This window comes from Homo sapiens, chromosome 4 (assembly GCF_000001405.40).
Source record: "Homo sapiens chromosome 4, GRCh38.p14 Primary Assembly".
NCBI classification, from domain to species: Eukaryota; Metazoa; Chordata; class Mammalia; order Primates; family Hominidae; genus Homo; species Homo sapiens.
Window position 1 is genome coordinate 76,237,147 of NC_000004.12, and position 20,326 is coordinate 76,257,472.

General features: G+C 40.7%; 2 protein-coding genes and 1 long non-coding RNA gene across 6 annotated transcripts in view; 2 read left to right on the forward strand and 1 right to left on the reverse strand.

Moving 5' to 3' along the window:
* Positions 1-20,326, forward strand: part of FAM47E (family with sequence similarity 47 member E) — a 69,744-nt gene that overhangs the window by 23,107 nt on the left and 26,311 nt on the right. The window contains exons 1-2 of one of the 2 annotated variants that reach the window (NM_001136570.3): positions 14,575-14,674; positions 19,032-19,377. The exons of the other annotated variant lie outside the window; for it this stretch is intronic. Coding sequence (NP_001130042.1) covers positions 14,601-14,674; positions 19,032-19,377 — 420 coding nt within the window. The 5' untranslated portion in view covers positions 14,575-14,600. Of the gene's footprint in view, positions 1-14,574; positions 14,675-19,031; positions 19,378-20,326 lie in introns of those variants that run through there. 2 annotated transcript variants of the gene reach the window in all.
* LOC105377286 (uncharacterized) lies at positions 1,560-14,531 on the reverse strand. 3 transcript variants are annotated; one of them, XR_938897.4, is made up of 3 exons: positions 13,962-14,531; positions 7,949-8,024; positions 1,560-4,852 (listed from the first exon to the last, which is right to left on the reverse strand). It is a non-coding gene; the product is annotated as an uncharacterized LOC105377286 (long non-coding RNA). The 3 variants fall into 3 exon arrangements; XR_938896.4 differs by having other exon boundaries at positions 7,949-8,019; positions 13,962-14,475; XR_007058143.1 differs by lacking the exon at positions 7,949-8,024 and having other exon boundaries at positions 13,962-14,475.
* FAM47E-STBD1 (FAM47E-STBD1 readthrough) overlaps positions 14,575-20,326 on the forward strand; it is a 59,410-nt gene continuing 53,658 nt past the window's right edge. The window contains exons 1-2 of the mRNA NM_001242939.2: positions 14,575-14,674; positions 19,032-19,377. Coding sequence (NP_001229868.1) covers positions 14,601-14,674; positions 19,032-19,377 — 420 coding nt within the window. The 5' untranslated portion in view covers positions 14,575-14,600. The remainder of the gene's footprint in view (positions 14,675-19,031; positions 19,378-20,326) is intronic.

Sequence of the window (20,326 nt, forward strand, 5' to 3'; positions counted from 1 at the left end):
GGCCTCCCAAAGTGCTGGGCTTACAGGTGTGAGCCACCGCGCCTGGCCATAAAATGTTTCTTATCAGATTTAAAGTCTGTGTTGATGTTAATGCTGGAAAGGTATAATGAGGTATGCCCAACCCCACTTCCCATCATGCCTCAGGTTTAATTTTAAAAGTGCCCTGGCTGAGAAAGTCCATTCAGATGGTTGAGGGGCCTTAGAGTTTTTTTTTTTTTGTTTGTTTGTTTGTTTTTTTTTTGGTTTACAAGGTAAAAGTTGGCTTGAGATAGTATGAAAAACAGTGAAGGTATATAGGACTCAGAGTTAATTTTAGTCCTTTTGATGTCTGTCTGTCCCAATCCAGCTCCATGTATCATTAGTATCACAGAGCATAAAGTACAGTCATTCTGAGGACAAACCAAGGAGTTTGGACCCTGTGTTAGTCCATTCTCACGTTGCTATAAAGAAATAACTGAGACTGGGTAATTTCTAAAGAAAAGAGGTTTAATGGCTCATGGTTCCACAGGCTGCACAGGAAGCATGATGCTGGCATCTGCTTAGCTTCTGGGGAGGCCTCAGGAAACTCACAGTCATGACAGAAGGTGAAGGGGGAGCAGGCACATCACATGGCCAGAGCAGGAGCAAGAGAGAGGAAGGAGAGAAGTGATACACACTTTTAAACAACTAGATCTCACAAGAACTCACTCACTATAACAAGAACTGCACCAAGGGGCTGGGGCTAAATCATTCCTGAGAAATCCACCCCCGTGATCCAATCACCTCCCATCAGGCCCCACCTCCAACACAGGGGATTACAATTCAACATGAGATTTGGGTGGGGACATTTGTCCAAACTATATCAGACCCATAGTTGAGTTTGCAGTGTAGCCCTGTAATGATATAGAGAGGAGAAGGATTGGGAAATAAGGGAAGATAGGTGAGCAGGCCAGACCCGGGAGGCTTTGAATACCAGCTTGAAGAATCTGAATTTATTCTGTGTCTAATGGGGAGCCATGATCCATAAGGAAGGCTATGGAATTATCAGGTCTCTTCCTGCCAAGACTCTAAATATTCCTTTGTATCACGGTTGACCCAGGTCAGGCTGAATGTTCCCAGGTTACTTTGGGTTAGCCTGGCGTTTCCAAGTCTGGTTCACAGTCTTCAGGAGCTAGGAACGGGGTTTTCTCTACCTCCGCTTCCCTGTTGAATTTTGATCTAGCTCAGGGAAACTGTTTGTCCCTTTCTAAAAATATGAGTGTGTAGTTTCCAAGACAAATGGGCAACAACTGCTCTGTGGGCTGGCTGAAGGATCCTGCCAGGGTGCTGGTGAGTTTGTTTCCTCATACTACATTTATCTTTAGCACAGGAACTAGCAGTAGGCAGAATTCCTAGCTCAGCCCAGTGATCATCAAGAAGTAAGCAGGTAAAGGTAACTATGAGTCCAACAAGGAGCGGACTTAAAGGGGGCAATCAAATGAAACTATTGCACCTGCTTAGGTTCAGATGCCCAAGATAATCTAGGAGAGATGTGATGGGAAGGAGAATAGGAGGGTGCTTAGTCATGTTAGGTACAGAGACAACATTTAAAAAAACTTTATTGTTTATTTACCACAATTTTTAATTGTGGTAAAACATACATAACACAAAATTTACTATCTTAATCATTTTTAAGTGTACAGTAGAGTGGCATTAAGTACAATCATATTGTTGTGCTGCCATCACCACTACCCATCTCCAGAAGTCTTTCCATCTTGCAAAACTGTATTCATTAAGCAATAACTCCCATTCTTCCCTCTGCTCAGCCCCAGGCAACCACCATTTGACTACTCTAAGTACCTCATATAGGTGGAATAATACAGTATTTGCCTTTTTGTTATTGTCTCATTTCACTTAACATAATGTCCTCAAGATTCATCCATGTTATACCATATATCAAAATTTCCTTCCTATTTAAGGCTGAATAATATGCCATTGTATGTGTTTACCACATTTTGCTTATTCAGTCATCCACCAATAGTCACTTGGTCTGCTTCCACATTTTAACTACTGTGAATAATGCTGCTATAAACACAGATGTACAGATATCTCTTTGATACTGCTATCACTTCTTTTGTGTATATATTCAGCAGTGGAAATGCTGGGTCATATGGTAATTCTACTTTTAGTTTTTAAAGAACCACCATTTTACACTGGTGGTGCCCTTTTACATTCCCACCAACAGTGCATAAGGGTTCCAATTTCTCCACATCCTTGCCAACACTTATAATAATTATTATTTTTTAAATAGTAGCCATCCTAATAAGGGTGGGGTGGTATCTCATTGTTATTTTGATCTGTATTTCCCTAATTATTCATGATGTTGAGCATCATTTCATGTACTTACTGGCCATTTGTATATCTTCTTGGAGAAATGTCTATTCAAGTCCTTTGCTCATTTTTAAATCATGTTGTTTTTTGTTGTTGTTGAGTTTTAGGAGTTTTCTCTATATTCTGGATATTAATCCCTTATTAGAGATGATTTTCAAATATTTTCTCCCATTCTGTGGGTTGCCTTTTTTACTCTGTTAATAGTACTTTTGATGCACAAAATTTTAAAATTGTAATACAATCCAATTTGTGTTCTTTTGTTGTTGTTGTTGCCTGTACTTGTGATGTTATATCCAAGAAATTATTGCCCATTCTAATGTTGTGAACTTTTGCCCTATGCTTTCTCCTATGAGTTTTATAGTTTTAGTTCTTACATTAGGTTATGGATCTAGTCTGCATTAATTTAATGTAAATGGTATCAGGTAAGGGTCCAACTGTATTCTTTTGTATGTGGCAATTTTCCCAGCACCATTTGTCAAAAAGATCATCTTTTCCCCATTGGATAATCTTAGCACCCTTGTGCTAAGAGGGTTTTTTTCTGGACTGTGTTCTATTCCATTGGTCTATATGTCTGTCTTTGTGCCAGTACCACACTGTTTTGATCGCTGTAACTTTGTGGTAAGTTTTGAAACAAAGAAGTGTGAATCCTCCAGCTTTTGAAGTGAAGATTTGCTGGATATAGGATTCTTAGTTGATAGTTTCTTTCTTTTAGCACTTTATATCAGCCTACTGCTTTCTGGCCTCTGAAGTTTCTGATGAGAAATCTGCAGATAATCTTATTGAGGATTCCTTATATGTGATGATCACTTCTCTCTTGCGGCTTTCAAAATTTTCTGTCTCCAGCTTTTAATAGTTTGATGGTAATACTTTTGGTGTGTCTTTGAATTTATCCTACTTGGAGTTCATTGAGCTTTTTGGATATTTATATTCATGTCTTTCATTAAATTTGGCAAGTTTTTGGTCATAATTTCTTTGAATAATCTCTTTGCCCCTTTCTCTTACTTGTCCTCAAGGACTCCCCATAAAGCCTGTGTGGGGCTGTTTGACGATGTCCTACAGGTCCTTTAGGCTCTGTTTTCTTCAATTTTTTTCTTTATATTCCTCAGATTCAATAATTTTCCTTGTCCTTTCTTCAAGTTTGTTGATTCTTGTGCTTGCTCAAATCTGCCATTGAATCTCTCTAGCAAGTTTTTTTAACTTTCAGCTATTGTACTTTTTAGTTCCAGAAAATTTCTGGAAACCAATTTCTTTTTGGTTTCTTTTTAGGTTTTCTCTCTCTTTATTGATATTTCCATTATGTTCATACATCATTTTCTTGACATTTTCCACATCTTCCTTTAGTTCTTTGGGTAACTTTAAGACAGTTGTTTTAAAGTCTTTGTCTAATAGATCCTCCATCAGATCCTTTTCAAGGACAGTTTCTGTTGGTTTATTTTTTCCTTTGAATGGGCCATATTTGCTTGTTTCTTTGTATCTCTTGTGTTTTTGTTTTTGTTGTTGTTGTTGTTGAAAACTAGACTTTTGAATCTAATAATCTGGTAATTCTGAAAATCAGATTATTTTCCTTCCCCAGGGTTTACTAGCTTTTTGTTTTTTATTGTTATAGGCTGTCTCTGTGCTGAGGATTAGCCTGAAATATAAGCTTACAGTCTTCTTGGGTCTTTTCTAAGCCTGTCCCTGGGCACGCACAGTGACTTTCTAATATCTTCTGTAACAAGTGTATATACAGTTGTTTTGAATGTCATAGCCTTCAATGTCTGGCTTCCAAAAATGGAGAAAAAGAGAAAAATGAAGGGCAGAAAAAGGCTCATCGTTTAAATCCCCTGGAAGGTGCTTCAGCCAGAGGAGGTGGAGTTTGCCACAATGGGGGGGAAGGTGCAACAACAAAACAATGGCTGTCATTTCTTCTTCTGCACCTTTGTAAAGCAACAATCAGCAATCAGAGCCCTAATATTTGGAGGACAGTTTTTTTTTTTCAACCTTGATTCCAGCAAGTTGTGTGCAAACTGGTCCAGGAACACATACACAGCTGCCTGACACAGGGCTGAGGAGTAGGGTTTGGCTACTATTGGCTATTACTGTGCTGAAATTCACTGAAATTAACTGCAGCTTACTGTACAACTTTTCCCCTAGAAGTTGCTAGCTTTCAATAGACCCCAAAGTTTTAAAATAGTTGTGTCAGACAGATGCTGCTAGAACAGTTGTTTAGGTGGGAAGTCGGATTCCTGGTGCTTTCTACTCTGCCATCTTCCCAGAATCCTCTCTCTAGTTTTAAAGACATAAGAATTTATAATATACTTTTAACTCCAGTGGTAATAACAGCACATTAAATATCTACTCATCCAAATAAAATTTGTTCATTAGTACAAAAATCCAGTGAAATCCTTTATAGAAGCTGCACTCTTCACGTTGGTTCTCGGCAGGAAAGTCCCTCATCTGAGCAGCTTGAGGGCTAACAAGTATCTTCTCATATCAGAAGGAGAAAGGGGGAACATCTTATTTCCTGGAGAAAAAAGGACAAGAATAGCTGAAATGGAGGAAGTATGTGGCTTATATGTGATTTCAAGCTTGTGTTGCCAACAGATCTTTTCTATGCTTATAATAGGGTAAGGAATACAGGAAACTTACGGATAAATTTAGTGATATGGTTTGGATATTTGTCCCCTCCAAATCTCATGTTAAAATGTAATCCCCAGTGTTGGAGGTAGGGCCTTGTGGGAGGTATTTTGTCATGGGGGTGGATCTCTCATAAATAGCTTGGTGCTGTCCTTGCAATAGTGAGTGAGTTCTCGCAAGTTCTGGTTGTTTAAAAATGTGTGGCACCTCCTCCCTCTTTCTCTTGCTCCCACTGTCACCAAGTGAGATGCCTGTGCCCCTTTCATCTTCTACCATGACTGTAAGCTTCCTGAGGCCCTTACCAGAAGTAGTTGCCATTACCATGCTTCCTCTATGGTCTACAGAACTGTGAGTCAAACAAACCACTTTATAAATTACCCAGCCTGAATATTTCTTTAGAGCAATGTAAAAATGACCTAATACACCTAAGGAATGTGTTTGAGCCAATATTCCTTGAGTGCCTCTTTGTGCTAGGCACTTGGCTAAATACTTATTATTTCTATTGTCTAATATGGTTGCTACCAGCCTCATGTGGCAAATGAATACTTGAAATGTGGCTTGTCAGAATTAAGATGTGCTGAAAGTAAAATACACACCAAACTCTAAAGATTTAGTATGAAAAAGAATGTAAAATATCTCAGTAATATTTTATGTTGATTACATGTTAAAATCATATTTTTTATGTGGAGCTAAATAAGACATATTATTATAATTAATTTATCTGTTTCTCTTTACTTTTAAAAATGACTACTAGAAAATGTATACTTACGTGGCTCACATTTGTGGATTGCATTATACTTCTATTAGAGAGTGTAGCTTTACATTATTCCCATATTGCATCCCATAACAATCTTATAACATAGACTGCTGTTAGGTCTATTTTACTGAAGGAGAAACGCTGAGATGTAGACTGCAGTGAGTTGCCCAGCATTAGTAATGTACCCCAGAGGGTTCTCTTGCCCTATTTTCTGCCATGTAAGAACACAGCAAGAAGTAGTCAGTCTGCATCTGGGAAGAGGGTCCTCACCAGAACCCGACCATGCTGGCATCCTGATCTCAGACTTCCATTCTCCAGAACTGTTTCTGTTGCTTATAAACCACTCAGTCTATGGTATTTTGTTATAGTAGCCTGGACTGACTAAAACACATATTAAGCCACAAGACACCAAATCATAATCTCTGCTCATGTCTGATATAGCTGGCAAATAAATCAGCAAGATTCACATAAAATTGCCATGGAATTTTGACAACACCTCCTGCTTTATCTAGTACCTGATACTAGCTCTGGGTCTTGTTTCACCATCTCTCCCATGATTTTGTTCCTATTACTGCAAACTAACTTGGATTTGGGGCAGGTATTATTTTAGTATTTCATAACCCACAAAGCATTCTTTGAATTGTATCTCATTGCCACCAAGTAACTATTTTTCTGGCAACTTTGTTTTCTACTTCAGGTGCAGAGCATTGCTTAATCTTAAATTCATGGCACTCCACTATCAATTGTATGCAAGACCCTCTCTTATTCATTCATTCATTTTCATCCCTATTCTCCACTTCTGTTCCTCTGCCCTCTCCATAGGCAGTCATTCTTTTTATGTTTTTTTGTTTTAAGTATTTTTAAAGTTGTATGTCTTTTTAAGTTTTAGGTTTGTTTAAGTTCTGGGGTACATGTGCAGAACGTGCAGGTTTGTTACATAGGTATACATGTGCCATGGTGGTTTGCTGCACCCATCAACCCATCACCTACATCAGGTATTTCTCCTAATGCTATCCCTCTCCTAGCCCCATAACCCCTGACAGGCCCCGGTATGTGTTGTTCTCCTCCCTGTGTCCATATGTTCTCATTGTTCAACTCCCACTTATGAGTGAGAATATGTGGTGTTTGGTTTTCTGTTCTTGTGATAGTTTGCTGAGAATGATAGTTTCCAGCTTCATCCATGTCCCTGCAAATGACATGAATTCATCCTTTTTTATGGCTGCATAGTATTCCATGGTGTATATGTACCACATTTTCTTAATCCAGTCTATCATTGATGGACATTTGGGTAGTTCCAAGTCTTTGCTATTGTGAATAGTGCCACAATAAACATACGTGTGCATGTGTCTTTATAGTAGTATGATTTATAATCCTTTGGGTACATACCCAGTAATGAGATCACTGGGTCAAATGGTATTTCTAGTTCTAGATCCTTGAGGAATCACCACACTGTCTTCCACAATGGTCGAACTAATTTACACTCCCACCAACAGTGTAAAAGCATACCTATTTCTCTATATCCTCTCCAGCATCTGTTGTTTCCTGACTTTTTAATGATCATCATTCTAACTGGCCTGAGATGGTACCTCATTGTGGTTTTGATTTGCATTTCTCTAATGACCAGTGATGAGCATTTTTTCATATGTTTGTTTGCAGGCATTCTTCTTTTTTTTTTTTTTTTTTTTTTTTTGAGATGGAGTCTCACTCTGTTGCCCAGGCTGGAGTGCAGTGGCGTGATCTCAGCTCACTGCAACCTCCACCCTCCGAGTTCAAGTGATTCTCCTGCCTCAGCCTCCTGAGTAGCTGGGATTACAGGCACCTGCCACTGTGCCCAGCTAATTTTTGTATTTTAGTAGAGACGGGGTTTCACCATCTTGGCCAGGCTGGTCTTGAACTCCTGGCCTCGTGATCCACCCACCTCGGCCTCCCAAAGTGTTGGGATTACAGGCGTGAGCCACTGCGCCTGGCCTGTCATTAAGTGTTGACATATGTTTTCTCTCAGAATTCTTATAAGAGGTACATTTTTGTTTTTTATGCACAGTTTTATATAAACCACATTGTAGTAAAAGTTTCATTCTGTTTTTCTTCATTCAGCAATATATTTTTAAAAGTCTAATCATGTTGCTGAGTATCTATCTAGACTATTGCTTCTAATGATGCCTAATTATCCATCCATTTTATCCACTCATTTCACAGAAATGGACATGCACATTGCCCCCAACTCACCAACACTAGTAACGATGCTGCAGCAACATCCTCATACGTCTTGCCTTGTGTGTGAGAATTCCTCTGGATTCCTATACTTAGCAGTGGAAATACTGAGTCATAAGTAACATACGTATCAGAGTAAAACCAGGAAAACAGAAGCCACTCTAAGTGTGTAAAACTAAGATTTTAATGCAGGGAATAGTTACAGAGGTGATGAAAGAGCTGAGAGCCAAACAGGGGACATAGGTAATCTAGAGACTGGCAATAATAGGAAACCCCTACCACACCTAAACTGCACGAATTGCTTGGAACCAAGAGTTTGAGTCATGTGACAAAAGCCGGAATCATAGCACCTGGTGGGAGCTCCAAGAGAAGGAAGAAATATAGATGCCTCTATAAATAGGAGAGAGATGGAGAGAGAAAAATAGCCTGACTGTTCCCTTCCTCCATCCCCAATCTCCTATTAGTGCTTTCCACTAGCCGAACCCAGCCCCCAGTGCAGCTTGCTGACGCCAGGGCAGAGCAGGCAGGGGCAGTGAAGAACAAATCAGCCAGCAGATACCATATACTTGGTTTGACTAAGTCCTTTCAGATTGTTCTCCTAATAACTGTTCTAGCTACACTCCCACCAGCAATGTATCCCTACATCCCATCTACTCTTCATGGCCCACTGTTCAACAAAGAGTGGAGGTACAGATCTCCACTATCTTCCTTTAAGTGTGTCTAGCCTATTGCAGATGGCTCAGGCATCTCCTCAAATCTAGCAGCCTGACCGAACTAAAGGACCCATCCATCCACTTAACCATAACCTCCTGAGGGCAGGAACCTTGTCAATTTTATCTGTAATCCCCTATCTGCCATCATGCTCAATGCTACTGACCAAGTGAGAAATGCTCCTGTTGACTATTGGTGTCATGCCTTTACCCCCATTGTTATTTGGTTTGCAGGTGTAGTCTACACTGAGGGCAGTTTTCAAGAAGCCACTTAAAACACTATGCAGGAAAATCTCTAGAGAGATTCTGTGGGTGAGGGAGAAGGTTGACAGTAAGCTGGTAAGCAAGGTTTAGGACTATAATGGTTGTCAAAACACTGTGTTGGTTGGTAAATAGCCACTGCTCTGAGCAATTCTGAGTGACTGCTGTGCTCTGGTGGCTCCAGCCACTCTCTACAAGATCAGCAACTAAAGGAAGGTATTGCCATTATGATTAGGGGACTCTAGGACTCCGTTGTTGCAATCTGGCTGGCCATCTTCCTGATTGGTTAGTGTATATGCTTTACTGGTTGTTAAATATTTTAAATATCCTTCCCCTGGATGAGTACCACAAAATAAGGAATGTTTAGGGGAAAGTCTGCAGACTTTAGGGTGCCCTAGGGCTCCCAGGAAGCTTGTTTCTTTATGTGATAATGGGGTAGAGATTTCTCTAGGATTATTTTCCTGATGGAAAATGCTGCATTTTTTGCTTTTCTCTTATTGAATAACTTACATAGTAAAATGCACAAATCTGATGTGTATAGCTCATTAAAATTTTACATATGTACTAACATATCCACCAACTAGATCAAGATGTAGAAGATTTGCATCTTCCTAGCAGACTCCCTCATGCCTTCTCTTTGTCAGTTACCCGCCAAGTAACCACAATTCTGACATTTATCATTATAAATTAATTTTGCCTGTTTTAAAACTTCATGTTAATAGGAACACAGTGTATACTCTTGACGTCTGGCTTCTTTTGCTCAACATTAAAAACATACTTCTTTTGGGATTTATTTGACTATCTTTCCAATTTGTTAAGTTGGATTCTTAGCTCATTAATTTTCAAATTTCCTTCTTTTTTTGGTATTTTTTACAACTTTAAAAAATTGTGTCAAAATATATGTAACATGAAATTTGTAACTTTAACCATTCTTTTAAAGTTTATAATTTGGTGGCATTAATTACATTTACAATATTATGCAATCATTATCACTATTTCAAAATTTTTTCATCATCCTCCAAAAAAACCTCTGTATCCATTATGCACTAACTCCTCATTTCTTCCTTCTCCCAGTCCCTAAAAATCTCTAATTTACTTTCTGTCTCATGAGTTTGCCTATTCTAGATATTTCATATAATGGAGTTATACACTATATGTCCTTTTGCATTTGACTTCTTTCACTTAGCATGTTTTCAGGGTTAATCCATGTTATAACTTATCAAAATTTCATTCTTTTTATGAATAATTTTCCATGTATGTATATGCCACATTTTGTTTATTAATTCATCTGTTGGTGGACACTTGGGTTCTTATCACTTTTTGGCTATTGTGAATAATGCTGCCATAAACATTGATGTACAAATATCTGAGTTCCTGTTGTTAATTCTTTTAGGTATATACCTAAGAGTGGAATTGATGTGTCATATGGTAAACCTTTGCTTAGCTTTTTGAGGACTGCCAAACTATTTTCCACAGCAATTGCAAGATATTATATTCCCACCAGCAATGCATGAGTGTCCTAATTTCTCCACATCCTCACCAACACTTGTTATTTTCTATTCGTTTGTTTTTATTATTATAACCATCCTAATTGGTGTGAAGTAGTATCTCATTGTGGTTTTGATTTGCATTTCCTTAATGACTAATGATGTTGAACATCTTTTGATGTGATTTTTGGCCATTTGTATATCTTCTTTAGGGAAATATCTATTCAAATATTTTGTCTATTTTTTAATTGGGTTGTTTGTCTTTTTGTCGTTGAGTGGTGGGAGTTTTTAAATATATTACGGATATTAAACTCTTATCAGGTATATGATGTGCAAAGATTATCTCCTGTGGGTTATCTTTTCACTCTCTCTCTTTTTTTTTTTTTTTTTTTTTTGAGACAGAGTCTTGCTCTATCACCCAGGCTGGAGTGCAGTGGCGCAATCTCGGCTCACTGCAAGCTCCACCTCCTGGGTCGACGCCATTCTCCTGCCTCAGCCTCCCAAGTAGCTGGGACTACAGGCGCCCACCACCACGCCTGGCTAAATTTTTGTATTTTTAGTAGAGATGGGGTTTCACCATGTTAGCCAGGATGGTCTTGATCTCCTGACATCGTGATCCGCCCATCTCAGCCTCCCAAAGTGCTGGGATTACAGGTGTGAGCCACCGCGCCTGGCCTCTTTTCACTCTCTTGATCATGTTTTTCGATATACAGAAGTTTTTTATTTTAATGAAGTCCAATTTATCTATTTTTTCTTTTGTTGCTTTGGCTTTTGGTATCATTTTAAGAAGCCATTGCCAAATTCAAAATTGTGCAGATTTGTCCCTATGTTTTATTCTAAGAAGTTTGTAGTTTTAGCTCTTAAATTTAGGTCTCTAAGCTGTTTTGAGTTGATTTTTGTATACAGTATAAGGGCCCAACTTCATTATTTTGCATGTAGGTAGGATTTCTCCAAGACTTAGGGTAGGGATCTTGTCCATCTTGTTCCTAGTACTGTGCCTGACACACATTATATACTCATTCAACAACTATTGATTTGTTATATACCATACTAGGCACTGGAGATGCAATGGAGAAGAAAACAGACCTGATCCTCGTCACCTTGGTACTTTGTTGCTAGTGTTTGCTGAATAAATAAATAAGAAACCATCTATTTTCATGACATCTGCATCATCACAAGTTGATAATTGCTCTATATGGTAATTTTGACTCCATACATTGCATACCATAATTGTAGTCATTACTTAGAGAATCTCTCAGTCTCTCTCTCTCTCTCTCTCAACTCAAAGGTGAAATGTATTAAATACAGTAATCAAGTGAGTATATGTTATTTAAGAATGAGGTTGGTGATTTTCCAGGTGTTTATTTCTAGACTTTTTGCCAGGTAAGCTGGCCATTTCATTCCCAAAAGGATTATTCAAATATATAAAATAGTATTTTCAAACACTATTATATATTCCAGAAAAACAAGCATTTGAATAACAAAAACAATAGAACTTAGCAAACATGGTGAAACTCCCATCTCTATTAAAAATACAAAAATTAGCCCGGCATGGTGGTACGTGCCTGTAATCCTAGCTACTCGGGAAGCTGAGGCAGGAGGATCGCTTGAACCCAGGAGGTGGAGGTTGCAGTGAGCTGAGATCACACCACTGCACACCAGCCTGGGCAACAGAGTGAGACTCTGTCTCAAAAAAGAAAACAAAACAAAACAAAAAAATAGAACTTTAAGGTGAGAAATGGGAAAGCAGTCCTGAATTGGTAGAAACCCTAGGCATATGGACAAATTGTTTATTTATTATTTGTTTGTTTATTTAAGAGTGATAATTTGCCAACATATTATTTTGCTAAATATTTTTAAAAGGATTATTGCAGCTGTAGAAAATATATAGAAAGCCATCTTAGGAAACTCTACCTCTTGCTTGCTGATATATAAATTGTAGTCAGCTTTTTCTTCTTTTTGTCACAACCTTTGGAGATTCCGGTAAAATGCCTCCTTCAGAATATTTCTGGGCATCCGTTATTTGTTTATTTATTTATTTTTTTTTTGGTTACATGAGTAAGTTCTCCAGTGGCAATTTCTGAGATTTTGGTGCACCCATCACCCAAGCAGTGTACCCTGTACCCAATGTGTAGTCTTTTATCTCTTGTCCCCGTCCTATCCTTCCCCCCAAGTTCCCAAAGTCCATTTTATCATTCTTACACCTTTGCATCCCCATAGCTTAGCTCCTACTTATGAGTGAGAATGTACAATGTTTGGTTTTCCATTCCTTAGTTACTTCAGTTAGAATAATGGTCTCCAGTTCCATCCAAGTTGCTACTAATGCCATTATTTCATTCCTTTTTATGGCTGAATGTTATTCCATTATATATATGTGTATATATACACATATATACCACAATTTCTCTATCCACTCATCGATTGATGGGCATTTGGGCTGGTTCCATAGTTTTGCAACTGCAAATTGTGCTGCTATTAACATGTGTGTGCAAGTATCTTTTTTGTATAATGACTTTTCTTCCTCTGGGTAGATACCCAGGTAGTGGGACTGCTGGATGAAATGGTAGATCCACTTTTAGTTCTTTAAGGAATCTCCACACTGTTTTCCATAGTGGTTTTACTAGTTTACATTCCCACCAGCAGCGTAAAAGTGTTCTCTTTTCCCCACATCCACACCAACATCTAATTTTTTAAATTTTTTGATTATGGCCAGTTTTGCTGGAGTAAGGTGGTATTACATTGTGGTTTTGATTTGCATTTCCCTTATAATTAGTGATATCTAGCCTTTTTTCATATGTTTGTTCACCATTTTTATATCTTCTTTTGAGAATTGTCTATTCATGTCCTTAGCCCATTTGTTGATGGGATTGCTTGTTTTTTTCTTGCTGGCTTGTTTGAGTTCCTTGTAGATTCTGAATATTAGTCCTTTGTTGGATATATAGATTGCAAAGATTTTTCCCACTCTGTGGGCTGTTTACTCTGCTGATTATTTCTTTTGCTGTGTAGAAGCTTTTTAGTTTAATCAAGCATTGTTTGGGCAAATTGTTACAAATCATTCCTGCAGGACTCCATTCAGCCTAGATAACCATACTTTTGGCCCAGTTCTCACAGAATTTCTACAGAAACCCTACCTCCTCAAAGTAATAAAAAGTTTGCATTACAATCGGACTAATATCAAAGAAAATAAAAATAACAATTGGGCTAATTATAATGATTACCTACATAGCTTTCTCCATTAACTAACTCACAACAGCTCTGTTAAGTAGTCAGGACAAATATTACCACCCCCGGTTCACAGCTGGAATAATAGTACTTGCATAATAATAATTCTTGAGGGATTCTTAAATGCTGGCACTGTGTTAATTTCTTTATATTCATCGAATATCCCCAATAACCCTACAGGTAGATACTATTATTTTCCCCATTTTCAGGCCAGGTAATTAATGAAGCTTAAAAATGTAAGTACCCTGCCCCCAGGAGTGCATAATTATTAAGTAGCAGAACCAATGCTTATATTTAAATCAGAAACACTCAGAAGTAGCATAAGAATTTAGTAAAAACGAAACACACCCTCGTGCAATCCGTATTATGTGGCCACGTGCCTACCAGGGTCAGCTGGATGGTACTTGTCTGCTAGAAGTGAGTCGAGGCAGAAGAATCAACACAGGAGCTGGAAGGGCCTCTGGAAATCAGCTGGGGACTAGAGACAGGTGTGCAGCCCTCGGTTTACAGAGGCTGTGAGACCAAGAGAGTTCCAAGACCTCCAGGAAAACATCTCCCTGCTAAAAGGCTTTCCCAACCTTTAGAAATCTATTCATTTTCCCCACTTTCCATCCTCTTTCTCTTGCTATCTCTTTATCGCTCCTCCTGCCTTCTTCCTTTCTTTCCTTCAGTAAACGTTTTTTGAAACGATGATGAGCAAAAAACGCCTGATCCAGTCTATGGCGCGTTTCGGTGGGAAGATGAACACGCCTTCCCAGCAGAGTAAAACGTGATTACACCAAGGACCGGTACCCTCTCCCTTCCCTCGGCCAGGTCCACGTCCCCAGGCGTCGGAGAAGGGGTTGGACCGCGCAGCGGGGCGTCAGAGTTGCCAGGCGCCCGGGGCAAATACCGGCAGCGGTGGTTGTGCGGTGTCCTAGCAACGGGGCGGCAGCAGGGCACACACACCGCCCAAGCCCGGACGGTGGCCGCGAAGCTAGGGCCACCATGGCGGACCGCAGGCGGCGGCTCCGGCCGGGGACGTTGGCCCCGGTGCGCGAGGGCGTGAACTGCAGGTCCAGGTAAACACTCAGCGCCCGGGCCGAGGGCGCATCCCACGCGGGCCGCGCGGGGGCGCCTGGAGACCCGCGCTTGCTGGGGCGGGGGCGAGGGGAGAGGTCCAGCCTGCCTTCCCTCCTCAATGCTTCCTGTACGTACAACATAATACGCTGAGATAACCAACGCTTGGCGCTGCTCTTTGCAAAGGATTTTTCCTGCTGTCATCCTCACAACCCCCGCCTCCCACGCCCCCAGGGATGTAGACTAATATCCCCATTTCTGATGGGAAAGTGATGGCCGCAGAGTCCGCTGCGGAGGCTGGTGCCCTCCTGCTAGCCACCCACCCTTTTCCGGCCTAGCCAACCAACTGTTCGCCAGATGCCCCGGGGCGCCTGGAGCCCTGTATCCGATGTTAGGCATCTGCTGCCCCTGGAGCCTTTGGTATCCAGATGGCGGCTGTGGCCAAGTGGAGCCCAGGGTTGGGGGAGCGCCTGGGGTGCTAGGGAGGTCTGCTAACATTTTGTACGGTTGTGGTAGCCTCAGAGCAGGAACAAGAAGGTTTTTGCCTTTACCGACTCCTTGACAATCTTTTGAGAATGGAATTCGTCTGTCTTGGAGACAGCACGATGTGGTGGTGAAGATTCCAAAGTCTAGAATCAGAAAGGCTTGAGTAGAAGGCTAGTTCTCCTCTTGTTTGCCTGGTGACCTTAGGCAAGTTGGTTGCTCCTTCTGGGCTCACTTTCCTAACTATAAAATGGGGCAATAACTTAGGAATCAGCTTTCTAAGATTGTCGTGAGGATTAATGGAGATAGCACATGTAAAGTTGTCACTGGCACATAGAACGTATCGTGTACATGTTAGCAATTATTCATAGTTGTTTCTAGCAGTTATTCATAAGAGCTTCTTTGGGAAGCTTCTCCCCCCCATTTAAAAATTTTGTTTTGAAATAACTGTAGGCTCACCAGAAGTTGCAGAAATAGTACAGAGGTCCCATGTACCCTTCCCCTAGCTGCTTACAGTGGTACCATTTTACATAACGATAGCACATTGCCAAACCAGGAAACGTCATTGGCAGAATATGCTAATTGAACTAGAGACCTTACTTGGATTTTATCAGCTCTTACTTGCACTCAGGTGTGTGAGTTCTGTAACATTTGGTCATATGTATACATAAAGATACAAAACTGTTCCTTCCCCACAGAGGAACTCTTAGTATTACCCCTTTGCTGTCACTTCTTTTCCCACCCCAGCCTTGTCAATCGCTAAGCTGCTCTCCATTTCTGTAAGTTAGTTCTTTTGAGAATGTTAGATAAACAGAATAATACAGTATGTAACTGTTTGAGACTGGCTCTTTTTCACTCATCATAAAGCCTCTGAGATCCATCCAAGTTGTGTGTATCAGTAGTTCATTTTTGTTGCTGAGTCGTGTTCCTTGGTGTGGATGTACCACAGTTTGTTTATCCATTCACTTGTTGAAGGACATTCAGGTTGTTTTGGACATTCCAGTTTTGGGGCTAATATGTAGAAAGCTGCTATCGACATTTGTGTACAGAATTTTCTGAGAACATACTTTTTCATTTCTTTAGGATACATGTCCGGTATCCTTTTGCAATTCTTAAAGAGGGAAATATCCATATATCATGTACTAGTGTCTGTGAAAACAGTAAATATTTAGAAAAATTGTTTCCAGTTTTATTTTATGGGCCAAGCAAGATTTTTCCTGAACCTAACATAATGCAGAATGGTAAGCTTATTAACTATGAGAGGCCATGTGGGGGAGAGGAAAGCCCTCCCTTTACACTGGTTGCCTTACTCTCCTCTTGGAACTTAGTTTCCTTATTAAAAAGAGGAAAGCGGTAGCCAGGCATGGTGGCACATGCCTGTAGTCCCAGCTACTCAAGAGGCTGAGGTGGAGGGATTACTTGAGTCTGAGAGGCAGAGGTTGCAGTGAGCCAAGATTACACCATTGCACTCCAGCCTGGGTAACAGAGTGGAACCCTGTCTCGAATTAAAAAAAAAAAAGAAAGGAAAGAAATGAGGAAAGTGGCTCGCGCCTGTAATCCCAACACTTTGGGAAGCGGAGGCAGGAGGATCACTTGAACCCGAAGTTTGAGACCAGCCTGGGCAACATAGCAAGACCCTGTCTCCTCTCTCTACAAAAGCAATTTAAAAATTTAGCTAGGCATGGTGCCGCACACCTGTAGTCCCAACTACTTGGGGGACTGAGATTGGAGGATCCCTTGAGCCCAGGAGTTTGAGGCTGCAGTGAGCTATTGAGCTATAATTGCCACTGTACCCTAGCTTGAGCAACAGAGTGAGACCCTGTCTTGAAAAAAAAAAAAAAAACAGAAAAAGAAAAGTGAAGAAAGTAGACTGGATTTCTTTTAGGATCTCTGCCAGTTCTAACATTCTATGAAGTTTCAGCTCACTGCCACGTACATTCCCCATTTTGAGTTGTATGGCTGTACTTAAACAAAAATATTTGTTCTCAGATTTGATTTCATGAAGTGCTTGGATGCATGAGTTAGTTGTAAATGTGCATATAATGAACTTTGTAAAGACATTTAATATGGAGGGTTACTTACTAATAAGTAATGCTGAATGGGTCATTAATCTTATGATTAGATGTAATTTCAGCATCTTTCTGCCATTTAGCTATTTAAGAGTGATCTGTTAAATGCAGAGAGTAACTTTTTGTTAAGTTCATCTTTTTGTGTCCTTTCATCTAGATCTTCACAGTAGAGTTGGGTTAAGCCCTTAAAACAACACCTACACATCTATGCAACAAGTAAGAAGTTTCTAGGACTCACTAGAGAAGAATTGGGGCCAGGCTGGAATCTCTTAAAAACACTTTGTAGCAATGGGTGTAGCAAGGATTAGATTTGGTGTAAAAAGACATTATAGATAAAAGGGGTCTGAAGGTGGAAGAGGCTTCAGGGAAGGACACAAAGACTCTAGAATTACCTAACTAAGGCACTGTAATATGTGAGGATAATGAGACGCTCAGATTCCAAGTCGTGGCTTTGGTGTTCGCTGGTTGTGTTAGGTTATTCAGGAGCTTGTTCTATTTTCCTTCCTGTTTGCCCATCTGTCTCTTCCATCTCATCTATATGCCCTAACTACTCAATGCTAACAGGGCGCTGGTGGATAAGGAGGCTGAGTGAAGCAGCTATATATATGGCGGTGGGAGAGGTGGAGGTTGTGAATGAGAGAGCAGATGATTTGTCTCCAGTGGGCAACCAATATGCCAATTGGGGCTCCTTGGATAAGTGGACCCACTTTTCACAGATCTTGAAAAATCTGGCTTTTCAAGAGGAGCCATTTTTCCCGATTATTTATGTGAACATTTTTATTTATCATAAACTCCAGTAGAGTGATTAAGCACCTTTTTCTGGAGCTGCCTACCTGGGTTAAACTCCCAGCTCTACCATTTATTAGCTGTGTGACCTTTGACAAGTGTTTTGTTTTTTAACTTCTTTGTGCTCAATTTTCTTATCTGTAAATGGGAATAATACTCGTGCCTAATTCATAGGGTTGTTATGAGATTTAAATATGCTCGTATGTGTAAAGCATTTAGAACAGTAGAACAGTGTCTGTTATGTTGAAAATTCTCAATTTATGTTAGCTATTATGATTCTTATTAAAACACAAGGAGGACCAAATGACAGGTTTGTTGGCCCAATGTAGCCCATGGACAGCCATTTTGCAGCCTTTGATCCCCTGAGTTTAGGGGGAACCCACAGAGGTTACATGAAGAGCCAACGCCATTCAGCTAGTTAGGGGCTGAGTTGTCAGTGGGATCCAGGTTCTTCCCGCTCAACTGCACTCTGTCCCTTTTAGTGAAGAGAGAGAGTCCTTGGGAAAGGCAACAACTTGAGTGTCCTTCACAAAGCGAATGGAGAGATGAAATGTGGTGGCGGCAGTTGGAATAATGAATTAGATTTACATAGAGTGACATGGAAGGGTCTTTAAAATATAGTGCTGGGTAAACAAGAAGCAGAATAGTGCCATTTACGTAAATTAAGAGTGCATGCACACATAAGGATGCTTCAGAATTTCAAGGATGTGTACAAACAAAGGATATATTCCAAATCCACTAGGGCAGTTTTGCTTTTGCAAGGGAGACCAGTGAGAGTCGGATGTGGGGATAAAATAGACAAGAAAGCAAGAGAGGGGCTTTGTACGGAGCAGCAATTCTGTGCTATGAACTAGGAATATGATTAACTCCAGCTTCTCCAGTGAATCCCACTTCCCCTACCCCCAACCCTAAAAGCTGGAGACCAGCCTTTTTACTACCTCCTTCTCCCACCCAAGTCCTGTGGTTAATATGAACAGGCATGTGGTATTCTAGGTACAAAGAGAATCTATCTACCTTCCAGATGTTTCACAAAGCACAAGAACGGGCTGAAGTTCCCCACCTCTCTGCACAGCCGGCAGTTGGTATTTCCAAGAAAGGGGCTGGACGACTTCAGGAAGGGCTGCCCGCCTTGCACTGGTCTGGTGACTCAGGTCCCTGTGGAGGGCTTTCTGCCCCAGATTTATCACAGAGCTCCCCAACTGGCCCCAAAGAAGAGGCAGATCAAGCTGCTCAAGGAAGCAGACGTGCTTTCCAAGCTCTCGCCAGCCCAGCAGGCTCGGAAGGCATTCCTGGAGGACGTGGAGGCCCACCTGACCCCACATCCCTTAGCGCTCTACCTGAATCTGGAAGAAGCTATGCCCATAGAGGTGATGTGTCCTAGGGTTTGTGGGAGGGGCTTCACTGGGGCCTTGCAAATAATTCTATCTAAATGTCTAGGAAGTCCCCATGAGAGGGTGACATATTTATAAGAGGAGTGATGAATGTCTCCCCCAGGATGCGAGTTCTTATGGGCCTCAGAGCAGCCTTCTGTCCTCTGTTCCCAGAAAACACAATCAGCAGCAACATGCACACTGCTCTCTTTGCTTCCTGTGAAGCCCTTCAATTTACAAAGATGCCACAAACCAGAAACGTATGACTTCTATTCCCCATAATTTCTACCCATCTACTGTACTTTGTGTTGTGACTTTTTGGGGAGAGGAGGAAACAATGAGAGGGAATTGTCTAGTCTTATTTTTGTCACTTTAGCCTGGTATTAGGAAGTGCCCTTAAATACTTACTAATGGGTGGAAAGAATGAGACCAGAAAGGTCATGGGGAAAATCCTCCTAATGGTCCAGACTAGGGCTGGACAGCAGCAGCTCTGTGATGTCACCAATGTCCCAGGCCTCTCCTGACTTTAGCTCTATATCCTTAGTATGCATCTCTCGTCTTTGTATCTCAAAGTGGCTTCCATGCTTCCAGGCATTGAGTCTGTATTTCAGACAAGAAGAGGGAAGGGACAAAGGTTAAAGGGTGCATGCCAGCTGACTCTGTCTTTTAATTAGGCAAATAATAGCTTTCCCAGTAAACATCTCTTTCATCTGACTACTCCTAGTTGCTAGGGAGTCTAGCAAATGGAGTTTCAGAGTTGGGCATTGAACCTGAGCAAAACCCAGGTTCTATTAGATTTAAAGAGAAAAGGTAGAATGGATATTGGGCAGGGAGCTAGCAGTGACTGCAACTCCATCCGCATCCCTGCAGCCTGTATTCTACACAGAGAGCGAGACAATGGTTCAGAAAGGCAAATCTCTGCTCAGAGCCTTCCAGTGTCCCCTTC